Raw genomic sequence first — 14,464 nt, forward strand, 5'->3', positions numbered from 1 at the left:
AAGCATATATTGCTTTCTTTCTTAGAATGTTGTACAACATTCTAAAGTTTTTACCGATTATGGGTGTATATGGTACTAATATATAGCAGACGTATAGAGACTGATTATTTCTAACCCAAATATCACCATTAAATGACCTTAAATTAGGGTTTTGTTCACCTTGAATTATGTGAGCAGTGAAAATTTTATGTACGTATTTTCAGGATTGATTATCTGATTATTGATTATCATCTAGAGACATTTTTAAATTATAACTTGCACTCAAATGCTCCTTATAGTTAGTTATAGTGCTAATAAGCTATTTGTCTTAACACTAAGCACCAATCTATTAAAAACTGTGACATAAATTAATAATCATTGGTGGCGATTGGCAGAAAATAATCTATATAAAATTACCGCAAAAAAAAATCAAGGGTGAAGTTACAAAAATTGAAAACGAATGCTACGAAATGTTTAAAAATGGGGAAGCTAATAACAGTAAAAGTCTTAACATGTTACTATTTCTTATTTCTGGAAGCAGAAAGGATGTTATGAAAAATACAAGTGCCATTATATAAGACTAGTAGGGATCTGTTAGTGCCTGCTCTTATCTAGAAAATATTACATATTATCATATCTGTAAAGGCAATCGTTTTTATGACTTTTTTTGTAACTTTGGTTATTGTTAACATTTGCTTAACTTTTTTTGTTAGACTTGTATTTTTCTTTTTTTTTCTTTAAATTCAAACTGTGGTAAAACACATGTAACATGTAAAGTTACAATCTTAATGATATTTAAGTTTACTGTTGAGTAGTATTAAGTACATTCACATTGCTATACATACAATCCCCAGAACTCTTTTTGTCTTGCAAAATTGACATTTTTACCTTTTAATCAACTCCCCATTCCCTTCTTCCCCCAGGTTCTAGCAATTACCTTTCCACTTTCTGTCTCTATTAATTTGGTTATTTTAGGTACCTCACATAAATGGAATCATACAGTATTTATTTTTTGTGACTGTGTTGTTTCACTTAATGTACGTCCTCAAGTTTCATCCATGTTACAGCATGTGTTGAAATGTCCTTCCTTTTTAAGGCTCGATAATATTTCATTAACATACATATCATTTTCTGTTCATCCAGTTATTCTTTGATGGACACTTGAGTTGCTTACACCTTTCACTATTGTGAATAATGCTGCTGTGCATGTAAGTGTACAAATATCTTTGCGATGCTGCTTTTATGTCTTTTGGGCACATACAGAGAGACAGAATTGATGTATATTTATTACACAGTAGTTCTATTTTTAAATTTGTGAGGAACTGCCTTACTGTTTTCCATAGTGGCTGCACAACTTGACATTCCTACCAACAGTGTGTAAAGACTCCAACTTCTCTGTATTGCACCTAACACTGGCTATTTTCTATTTTGTTTGTTTTTAGTAATGATACTAATGAGTATGAGGTTTTATGACTTTCAACCAATAGCTGGTTGTTACACATTTCCATTTATAAATTTGCTTCAAAATGTAGTGGCTGAATCATTTATTGTGTGCTTTACTATACTTTATTTTTTAAAGGAAGATCTCAGATCCACTAAAATGTCAACATTGAAATCAAGATAAAGAGGAGAAAGAGGAGGAAAAAAGAGGAGGGTAGAGGAGGGGGTAAGAGAGAAATGTTCATACCAGTGGGATAGAAGAGTATGTGAACTAAATAATGCAGTGGTAACTGCATGAATCAAATTCTAAGTGGTATGACAAATGGTAATAACTGATGAGTACTCCCCACTCTTAGCATCATAAAGATGTTGTATCTTTAACCAAATTATGAATGACTGAAACAGGATTATACAGTGGAGAATCAATGTATATTTTTTAAGGACAAAATTATTTTTGTAGATTTAAAATATTACAGTAATTCATCTTGGCATTATGCTAGATATCCATACAGAAAAAAGACTCTGGTGTCAAATAAATGACTCCAAATTCAGTTGTGCTACTTAGTAGTACTCATATGAGTTTTGTAATTCTCATTTTTTCTCTACTTCGTAATGAGACTAATAATGCCTTTGCAGACTGAAGTTAAATAAAGCTATCTCTATTTGCAGATGACATAATCTTGTGTATATGGTATTCTAAAGACCCACTAAAATTGTTTAAGAACCAATAAACAAAGGTGTCAAAGATGCAGGATACAATATCAATGTACAAAATCAATTGTATTTCTATACACTATTAGACGGATAATTAAAAATAAAATCAAGGGTTAATTCTATCTACATTTACATAAAAAATACCTAAGAATAAATTTAACACAAATTAAATCAGAGTATGCAAAGCACATACTCTGAAAACTACAAGACATTGCCGAAAGAAGTTAGAGAAGTAAATAATGCAAAAAGAAGTCACGTTCATGGATCAAGAAACTTAATAGTGTAAATGTAGCAATGTTCCTCAAATTGATCTACAAAGTAAATGCAATCTCTATCAAAATCCCAACAGGCTTTGTTTCAGAAATTGACAAGTTGATCCTCAGACTGGTATGGAAATACAAAACAATCCTTAAAGAGCTAAAATTATACTTAAAAAAGTGAGGATTTAAACTACTCAACTTCAAAAGTTATAATAAAGCTACAGTAATCAAAATTGTGTGTTGCCAGGTACAGTGGCTCATGCTTGTAATCCCAGAGTTTTTGGAGGCCAAGACAGAACTGCTTGAGCTCAAGAGTTTGAAACCAGCCTGGGCAACATAATGAGATCTCATCTCTACAAACAATTAAAGTATTAGCCAAGCAAGGTGGTTTACATGACTGGCTACTAGGGAAGCTGAGGTGAGAGCATTGCTGAAGCCCTGGAGTTTGAGGTTACAGTGAGCTATGACCACGCCACAGCACTGCAGCCTCTGTGACAGAGAGAGACCTTAACTCTTAAAAAAAGTAAAAGAATGTGTGACATACTGGCATAAAGATATATATCAATGGAATAGAACTGGGAGTTCAGAAATAAACTCTTAGGTTAATGCTCAGTTGAATTCTGACAAGGGTGACAAGACAAATCAGAAAAAATAATTTTTTCAACAAGTAGTGTAACATAACAGGATATCTACGTGCAAAATAATAAAATTGGACACGTTCCTCATGCTATAAACAAAAATTAACTGAAAATGAGTTACAGACCTAACTAATAGCTAAAACTATAAAAGCCTTAGAAAAAATATACTAGTAGTAAATTTGTATGTCCTTGTGTAAGACAAAATCTTCTTAGATATGGCACCAAAAGCATAAAGGACAAAATTAAAAATTAGATAAATTGGACTTCATTAAAATTAAAAACGTATTGCTTCAAATGATAAGAAAATGAAAAGGCAATCTAAAAATCCGAGGAATGCTTGCAAATCCTTATTTCCAGTAAGACACTTATATCTACATAATATAAATAATTATTTCAATTCAATAAATGAAAAGATAAATAACCCAATAAAAAATGGGCAAAGAATCTGAGTAGACATTTCTCCAAAAAAGATATGCAAATGTCCAATAATCATATAAAATCACGTTCAACAACATTAATCATAAGATGATTGCAAATGAAAACCACAATGAGATATAACACCCACTAGGATTGTTGTAATAAAATAGACATAATAACAAATGTTAGAAATGATATGGTAGAATTGGAAAATTCATACAATTCTCATAGAAATGTGAAACGATACAACCAACTTTGGAAAAATGTCTGTCAGTTCCTTAAAACTTTAAACTCACAGTCACTACGTGAACCCGCATTTATACTCAGTATTTGCCCAAGAGAAATAACAAATTCGCACACAAATATACATAGGAGCATTATTTATAATAATCAAGACATGGAAAAAGACCAGGTGTGGTGACTCACCCTTGTAATCCCAGCACTTTGAGAAGCCAAGGCAGGAAAATCGCTTGAGCCCAGGAATTTGAGACCAGCTAGGGCAACATAGTGAGACTCACTACTAATTTTCTAAAAAAATTAAAGATTAGCCAGACCTGGTGGCATGCACTTGTAGTTCCAGCTACTCAGGAGGCTGAGGCAGGAGCATAGTTTCAGCCCAGGAGTCTGAAGTTGCAGTGAGCTATGACTATGCCACAGTACCCCAGCCTGGGCAATAGAGCAAGACCTTGTCACCAAAAAAAAAAAAAAAAAAAAAAGTAGAGAGAGTCCAAATGTCCAACTGGTGAATGAATTAACACAATGGGACACACACACACACACACACACAAGCACACACATAATGGAGGGTTGACTATGCTTAGTGGCTTACTTTCAAAGAGTAGAGTATTCAAAATAAAATTGTGGAGAAACATGAAAACTGCTACATTGGCCAGGCGATCAAAGTGAATATTATAATTGATAAGTCAAGTAAATAACATGTACTTCCACTATGCTATACCATCGATGCTTCACTTCTATGATATTCTTTCTAAAAACCTGTAACCCTAGTCTAACCATGAGAAAAACACCAAATCATCCCAAATTAAGGATGTTGGATGAAGTGCCTGTCCAATACACAAAACCGTCAAGTTGGTGAAAAACAAAGTCTGAGAAACAGTCACAGTCAAAAGGAGCCAAAAGAAATCTGAATACTAAATGTTATGTGCTACCTTGGATGGGATCCTGGAACAGAAAAAAAAAAAGGTAAAAACTGAGCAAATCTGAATAGAATATAGACATTTGTTAATAATAATGTATCAATATTGGTTTATGAATGCTAACAGACCACACTAATATGTTAATAATATAAGAAATTGGGTATGCTGTACTCAATTATATCTTCTCATTTTTTCTAGAAGTCTATAAAATTCCACAAAGTAAACTTTACTAAAATATCATAATAAAAAATAATGTTGCTTAATAACAAATCTAGTCAAAAATAAGCATGACACTCATTAATATAATTGTTTAAATTCACTGACTTAAAATGGTGAATTTTCTACAATTATTATAGATGAAAATATTACATCTTAAGTTCTCTTAAAGTTATTAATTCAATACAATCCAAAAAACTCAGTGTTTTTCACAAAATTTGAAAAGACCTACCTAAAATTTAAATGACATAGAGCCACAAGAGCCAGGACATTTTTAAGAACAAAAATTGCCACTATTATATTTCAAGAAAAAAGAGTATTTCAAACATTGTGGAAAAGATAATTAGACCAATGAGGCCAGGCGCAGTGGCTCACGCTTGTAATCCCAACACTTTGGGAGGCCGAGGCAGGCAGATCACGAGGTCAGGAGTTCAAGACCAGCCTGGCCAACATAGTGAAACCCAGTCTCTACTAAAGATACAAAAAATTAGCCGGGCATGGTGGTGGGCACCTGTAATCCCAGCTACTTGGGAGGCTGAGGCAGGATAATCGCTTGAACCCGGGAGGCAGAGGTTGCAGTGAGCTGAGATAGCACCATTGCACTCCAGCCTGGGAGACAGTCCGAGAATCGAGAATCCGTCTAAAAAAAGAGAAAAAATCATTAGACCAATGAAGCTGAATAAAGAAAACATACAAACCCACACTTTAATGAAAACTTGGTATATATCAGCAGAAGCATTACACCAGTCTGAAAAAAATGAACTATTCAATAATTTGGTGCTTGTTTAATTGAAAGTCTAGGTGGAAAGCTCTAATTTGATCAAACTTGCCATCAAAAATATGGAAAATCAGGGTTTAATTTATATACTTGAAGGTATCAGAGAGCACCAATTTAGCCAAGTCCGGAAATATCAAGATCCTAAAGAGAAGGGAAATACAGATTTGTGACAGACCAGTATTTATGATTCCTTTTCTCTACCTTTTGCAGAGGCATTTTCCCAACGCAAATGGCAGCATAAGCATCTGAGAATCTGAGCAGCCCTTGCAAGCACCTCACAGAAGCTGAAGAAACAAAAGTTGGAGTTCAGAACCTATCAATGTGGAGGCATTCTAGCAATGAACTCTAGAGTTAAGATGGGTCTCCCAAACAAATGAAAACAAACTGTGAATAAAACATTCCTTTCAGAAAATAAAAGCAGTCACTGAATGACCTCAATCATTGACCTTAGTATGGACATTTGCCTTTGTCTTAGCTATGGCTGAAAAGCTGAGCATGGTTGCCAGTCCCACACTTAAGACAAAAAGAGGAGCTCAGGATCTCTAGGAGGAGGGCATTGTTAAATACTCTTGTTTTTCAGTTAGTCTTATAAAAGACTCAACAGGGGACTGAGTATGAAGTAGAAAAAGAGAGAAAACTGATAATAGAAATAAACCCAAAGGAGATCCAGATAATGGAATATCAGATCTGTCCTTTATAATACCAGTATTTAACATGTTGAATTAAATGGAGAAAATATAGAAATTCAGCAAAGAATGGGAATATAAAAAAGGAACACAAATGGAAATTTCAGATCTGAAAGATATAATAACTAAAGCCAAGAAACCAATAGAAGAGTTTAACAGCAGATGAGACAGCCTGTATTCTCTCCAAAAAAGAAAAAAAGACTAATGAGGTGGAAGATAGTTCATTAGATCCAGATTCAAGCCTAGAAAGAGAGGAGGGGAAAAAGGATGGAAACTATACTAACGTGCTTAAGAGACATATGGAATGTGTTAAAAATGCTTAACATCATCTTTAAAAATAGAGTCTCAGGAGGAAATGGAAAGAAAAGGGTTCATAAGCAATATTTGAAGGAAAATAAAAGATAATCTTCCAAAATTTGAAAGACATTAAACACTGATTCAAAAAATATAATGAATCACATGCAAAATAAGTGGAAAGAAAACAACTACTAGGGACATTTTAGGATACCAAAGTTTTAAAAAATATTAAAAAGCAGGCAGAAAGAAAAACATAGATCCCTTACCTACAAGTAATAGAACTGACAGCTGACTTTTCTACAGAAACAATGAAATCAGATGATAATATAACTGAATTTTCATAAAACTGGTAACAGGGCACTAACTTAGAATCTGATTCCAAGAGAAAATGTGCTTCACAAGTGAAGATAACATAAAGGCCATTTCAGATACGTGAAAATGAAGAAAACTGATTACTAATGGATCCATACTAATAAAAATACTTAAAGCAATAAAAAAAAAGATCTCATGTGGAAGTCTGGAAATTCAGATAGAAATAAAAACAAAGATTAAATATATGAATATATGTAGAGAAATCTAAATGAATATTGATTGCATTTAACAATAATATTAATACATGTGTGCATTTAAACATTGTGAATAATTAACTGAAAACCACAGGAAAAGAAAGTGGAGGTGAAAAAAGATATCAAAGTGTTTTTAAAGTCCTTGCATTGTCAAGGGAATATTAAAAGCATTAAGTTAAATGAAACATTAATAAATCCATAATGCATATAGTAATTTCTCATGTAAACACTCAAACATTGTTTTAAAAATATGGCAGATAAGATGAATATTAAGGCTGCACATGGTGGCTCACACCTTTAATCCTAGCAATTTGGGAGGCCGAGGCAGGCAGATCACTTGAGGCCAGGAGTTCGAGACCAGACTGGCCAAGATGGAGAAATCTCATCTCTACAGAAAATACAAAAATTAGCCAGGTTTGGTGGCGCACCTGTAATCCCAGCTACTCCAGAGGCTGAGGCAAGAGAACGAACCTGGGAGGCTGAGATCACACCACCGCACTGCAGCCTAGATGACAGAGTGAGACTCTGTCTCAAAAAAATAAAAAATAAAAAATAAAGATGCATATTAATAGTCTTACTTAATCCAAATATGAAAAAAGGATAAAATAGGAAATATAAAGCAGGTGGGAAAACACTGCAAATAATAAGATGGCAGATTTAAACACAAATTGATGAAGAACTGTACTAAATGTACCAACTGAAAGATAAAAATTGTCAGATTGTATTTGTGAAATAAAGACATAATTCAAAATTTAATAAGCCAAAAAGAAAAACAAGCAGGCAAAAAAGGATTTCAAAGAAAAGACAAAGAGCAAGATGGTAAATTTAAATAGAAATTTATTAATAACTGTTCAGCATGAACAAAATAAATACCCTAATTTAAAATAAATAAAAATGATTTTGCTTGATTAGAAAAATGAAATTCAACTATAGGCTGATACTAATATTAGAAGTAATAGACACTAAAATGACAAGCATGATAAGAGATGCGGCATTTTGAAACGATAAAGGAGTCAACCAACTCAGAAGTTATTCCATCCAAAACATGAAAATACTAAATACAGTGGTCTCAAAATATATAAAGTAAAAATAAACAAAGCTGCAACAATACTGACAGAAGGCATGAACCTCTTGGGTCAAAGTCAAAGGGACAATTTATTACTCAAATAATCACAGTAGACAGAATATCACTTGTAGTACTTCCCGATCCTCACTTCCTACAACGTATCTCAACGTATCTCATCATGTGAAGCCTGTACAAGCAGTAAGATGCATTATAGGGATAGAATCCAAGTTCAGAAAACCCTCCATCTTATAAAAAGGCTGCCAGTAAATGTAGCCAAACTGTCCCCGAGAAGGAGACATTAAATATATTCTTTTTTTTTTTTTTTTTTTTTGAGACGGAGTCTCGCTCTGTCGCCCAGGTTGGAGTGCAGTGGCGAGATCTCGGCTCACTGCAAGCTCTGCCCCCCGGGTTCACGCCATTCTCCTGCCTCAGCCTCCTGAGTAGCTGGGACTACAGGCGCGTGCCACCACGCCCGGCTAATTTTTTGTATTTTTTAGTAGAGACGAGGTTTCACCATGTTAGCCAGGATGGTCTCGATTTCCTGACCTCGTGATCCACCCGCCTCGGCCTCCCAAAGTGCTGGGATTACAGGCGTGAGCCACCGCGCCCGGCCTAAATATATTCTTATCCTGGTCAGAAAACAAATTTTCTCTCTGCCCACAGGAAAGCACTATCTATCTTCCAAGTTTTTTTCTATACATTTCTAAAAAGACAGTCTGAAATAAAAGCTGATTCCAGGTGGTGGTATGCAGAAACAAAACGAGGGCTTATTGCTCATATCGTGTGTGTGTGTGTGTATATATATATATATGTGTGTGTATATGATATATATATGTGTATACACACACACACATATATATATTCAAAAAGCAAAGAAAAACACAAAAGATGCAAAAAGGTAAATGAGAAATCAAACCCAATAGTGAAAAAAGATATTGAAAGTGTATATGATCTAAAAAAAAACTTGTATCCAGAAAACATAAAGAACCTCTGCAAATCAGTAAGAAAAAGAGAGCCAACTCAATTTTCAAAAACAGACCAAAAGCATAATCAAGAAAGTTACAACAAAGATTAAAAACTTATTAAAATGTGATCTATTTTATATATCATCTGGAAATGCAAATTAAAACCCAAATAGCATACCAGTCAATATCCAACATCATAGCTAAAAGTTAAAAGATAGAAAATACCAAATTTTAGTAAAGATCAAGTTTCATCCCTAATAATGGGATGATCCATTATGGGACTATCATGCCCTGCTAATGGGAGTATAAATTGGTATGATTATTTTGGAAAGCTGCTTGACAGTCTTGACTAAATCTAAAAAAGAGCATGCCCTATGACCTACCAATTCTACTCTTGGTATATAACACGAAAATTGTGTGCATATGTGTATCAAAAACTTTCTAAGGCAAATTCACAGCATCCTTACTCATAATATTCAGAAACTGGAAAGAGTCCGAATCTACATTAGAAGTAGAAAAAACAAATACATTGTGGGGTATTCAAAATGTAATACTATAGAGTGATTAAATAAATAAACTGATGCTACAAACAAAAACACAGATAAGTCTTACCTAATGTTGAGGAAAATTATTCAGGCACAGTCACATAAAAATACTGAATAAATTCCCTTTATATAAAGTTCAAAAACTGACAACATTAATCTATTAGACTAAAAACTAGAATGCTAGTTAACATTGCAAACAATAGTGAGAAGGACAGCTTTTGGTGTAATTCTGGGGTAATGACAATTTCTATTTCTTCATCTGGATGGTAGTAAAAGATGTACGTTCACCTTGTGAAAATCCATCAAGCTTCACTCTGCTTTGTGTACGTTATTCTTCAATATAAAAATTTACCTTAAAATTAAGTAAATTTAGGATAATATTATTATGACTTTGTAAGACTAAATGTGATAAAGGAAAACATTGATAAATTTGATTCCGTAAACAAAGATAAAAGGTAAGCCTTAGATTGTAAAAGATAATTGCAATAGTTAAAAATAATAAAGAACTAGCATCAAGATTTTATAAACTCTGACAACCAAATCTAAAAAAAGAAAAGAAATTGTTCATAGGTTATGAACAAGAAATTCATAGAAGATAAAAACTAAATTGTCAATGAGAAAATATTTAATCTCCCTAGAAAACAAGGGGTTGTAAAACCACCACCACACCACCACCACGAGATATCACTTCAAACCAATATTGGAAAAATAGGAAGTATATTAATATGATAAGATATTAATAAAAGTCTTAATAGTTCTGAAGCTGCAACTTATAAATTTGAGCATTCTCATTGTGAAAAAGAATATGTAAATATGTTACTTTTGAAAATTTTACATAACTCTAAAGTGTGAAAACAAGGATTTGGGTGGGAGCCATTTCAGATGAAGATGCCTGTATATATCTTAACTTTCATTAACTTCATGGTAGATCTGCTTCTGTACCCAAGCAAGAATGCTTGGAACTCAGAAGTAGTGTAAAATGTGGGGGTGGTGAGGAATAGAAATAGGTATGGCCAAGTTGGAATTTCGGGAATAATAACACCCATTTGTTAATCTAATTATTGAACTAAGTAAGATACATAAAGTCATCAGGCAAAGAAGATCAAAATCTTGTGCTTACTACTGAAGTCTAACTTGGAGATCACAGCTTAAATGCATGATTGTATTGTGCTTCCTAGTACTGAATCCCAGGATGAAGCTGACTCACCAATCAGCCACAGCCAGTGAAAGTAACTGCAGGCTTTCTCTTCAGTGGCCTTTACTTAGCCTCTCACGTTGCCAAGAGTAATCAGGAAAGAACACATTCAGGAAAAGTCCTAAGAGAATTAAAAGAGGAAGATGGGAGAGTTATGAATGCCCAGTTCCTCATTCCAAAATCACCAAATAATCCTTTCCATTTCCCCAGAGGAGGAGCAAGAGAGAAGGTGGGAAGAATTCAATTCTATAATTGTCTCTTCATATGAAAGGAAACATCAAGCTTGGTATATTGTTTCCTGCACTGTCAATCTGCTTAGAAGAGAATGTGCAATATTAAATAAAATTGAAGACTACATGTCCTATGATATGTCTAGTCTACTATAACGTCTATATCCTAGAACTGTGATTCTACACAAAAGGTATGCTTGGAAAGATAAGCACATAAACAAAACAACTAATGTACTCCCTATGCAGCTAAATCCCCAAATTAGGGCTAAGCCCTGGAGTGTTATTGGCTTTGCTTAGGAAGGAATTCAAAAGCAAGCCAACAGTGAAGGAAAAGTTTATTAGGGCAACAATGTACAGCAAAATGGCTACTCCATAGACAGAGCAGGGCTATCCCACAGGCAGAGTGGCCAAGAGTAGCACTCATGGGCTGCTGGCTAGCTATAGTTATATCCACTCTTAGTTATATGCTAATTCAGGGGTGGGTTATTCATGAACTTTCTGGAAAAGAGACGGGGAGCTCCCAGAGCCATGTAAGCTAACTTCCAGGTCATTGCTATGGTGAGGTAGGAGGCTGGCAGGACTCGTCTCCAAACCAGAATGAATAAGGCTGAGACCAGGAAGCCACCCTAAGGGCAACCACTAGGTGCCCTCACTGCCCATCACCATGAGGCGCTCCAACCAGCAACATGACAGTTCACCAATGGCATGGAAACACCCAGAAGTTACTTCCCCTTACCATGGCAACAAATGGGAAGATATCCCACATTTTTGATCTATTTCTAAATGATCTGCCTCTTAATTAGCATGTCGTTAAAAGTGAGTATAAATATGACTGCAAACTGCCCATACACTGCTACTCCCAGCACACTGCATATGGCCTAGCCCTGCTCCTCAAGGAGCAGTTAACTGAACTGCATCTCAGCCTCTGCCTCAGTAAAGCTGCTTTTCTCCACCATCGGCTCACTCTTGAATTCTTTACTGAGCGAAGCCAAAAACCTGCCCTGCATCAATGGCGTCATTCGTAAACTGCCATGGTGCTGGTAAGAGCACCTTATGCAAATGTAGTATAATTCACATATAATGAGCAATGAGAGCAACTAATCATCATCTTGTTCCTAGCTGGTTTTGGCCCGTTTATTTGCTACATCTTGTTTAGATTAGCTCCTGTTTTGTTCAGCAGGGTCTTGTGAGGGGTGCTCGGAAAATAAGTCCTGCTGATCTTTGAGTTCATGTCCAAATGATGAAAAAACACACAGCACTTAAAAAGAATGAATTTACTACCCATCTGACAAGTGATTAATAACTAGAATATATAAGGCGCTCAAACAACTCTATAGGAAAAAAATCAAATGATCCAGTGGAAAATGAGCCAAAAATTTGAACTGATATTTCTCAAAAGACATAAAAATGGCAAACAGGCATATGAAAATGTGTTCAACATCGCTGATCATCAGAGAAATGCAAATCAAAACTGCAATGAGATATCTCACACCAGTTAAAATGGCTTACATCCCAAGTCAGGCAATAAATGCTGGTGAGGGTGTGGAGAAAAGGCGACCCCTGTACATTGTTGGTTGGAATGTAAATTAGTACAACCACTATGGAAAACAGTTTGGAGATTCTTCAAAAAAACTAAAAATTGGCTACCATGTAATCTAGCAATCCCACTCCTGGATATATACCCAAAAGAAAGGAGAGCAGTATATTGAAGAGATAACTGCACTCCCATGTTTGTTGCAACACTTTTCACAGTAGCGAAGATTTGGAATCAACCTAAGTGTCCATCAGCAGATGAATGGATAAAGAAAATTTGGTACCTGTACACAATGGAGTACCATTCAGCCATAAAAAAGAATGAGATACAGTCATTTGGAACAACATAGATGGAACTGGATAACATTACGTTAAATAATATATATGTTAGGCACAGAAAGACAAATATTGCATGTTCTCACTTATTTGTAGGATCTAAAAATCAAAACAATTGAACTCATGGACATAGAGAGTAGAAAGATGGTTACCAGAGGCTGGGAATTATTGTGGAGGCTTTGGGGGAGGTAGGGATGGTTAATGAGAACAAAAAAAGTTGTTAGAAAGAATTAAGACCTACTATTTGATAACACAACAGGATGACTATTTTCAAGAATAATTGTACATTTTTAAATAACTAAAAGAGTGTGATTTGATTACTTGTAGCAAAAGGATAAATGCTAGAGGGGATGGATACCCCATTCTCCAAGCTGTGATTATTTCATATTACATGTCTGTATCAAAACATCTCATGTACCCCATAAATATATACATCTACTTTGTACCCACAAAAATTAAAAATAATTTTTTAAAAAATATATAGGGTTACCTACATTAATGATAATGAAAAAAATTTTAAAACAAATGAAAAATAAAAAGAATAAATTTGATCTGCATGGAACCAACTTTGCATAGAACAACTTTGGGAAATGTTAAGAAATAATAGCAAAATTTTAAAGTAAATTACTGTATACATTTTAAAACAAAACAATGTTTGGTATGGATGAATACATACATAATAAAGGGATTAAAATACATATATAGTGTACCTATCTAATTCAGAATACCTGTAGAAGGGAAGAATGGAGAAAAGGGCATGAGATATCCAACTCTCTAATGCTTTAGTCTTTAATAACTAACAGAAATACTGAAAACACTATAGCAAAACATAAACATGTATTAATTCAAGTGTTGGGCTCACATCCATGTCAGTGCATTAGCATATTTCATGAATAAGTTATTTAAAATATTTATTACAGAAAGGGAAATGTACCAGGAATATAGAGAAGAGCAGTAGGTCAGCATCTTTCACCTTATGTAGGACTCTGCCAATCTTTGCAGCCTTAGCTTCCTCCCTTCCCCACATACATATCATATTCCAGCTGCATCAAAGCACTTGAGTTTCCAGAATTTTTTTTGGGGGGGTGGGGGGTACAATTTTTATCTAGAATTGTCCATACACGTACTGGTGGATATTTAGCTCACTTTCAATTTGTTGCAATTATAAATAATGCCACAATAAATTATCTCCTATGTATTAATTAGAGAGTTTGTCTCGAGTACTGGTTCTCACTCTACATGTAAAAATCACTTTGGGAGATATAAAAAAATACTATTGCCCAGGCCCCCTACCTCCACACAAGTGATTCTTATTTTATTAATCTGAGTGCTGACTTCAGCACTCATGCATATTTTCCACAGACTATCTAGCCGTTTCTCACGTGTAGAACCACTGCTCTAGTGAACTTGTATTGCCATATAGTGATCTTCCTGGCCTCCTCTGGG

The sequence above is a fragment of the Homo sapiens genome, chromosome 8 (assembly GCF_000001405.40).
Source record: "Homo sapiens chromosome 8, GRCh38.p14 Primary Assembly".
Lineage (NCBI taxonomy): Eukaryota > Metazoa > Chordata > Mammalia > Primates > Hominidae > Homo > Homo sapiens.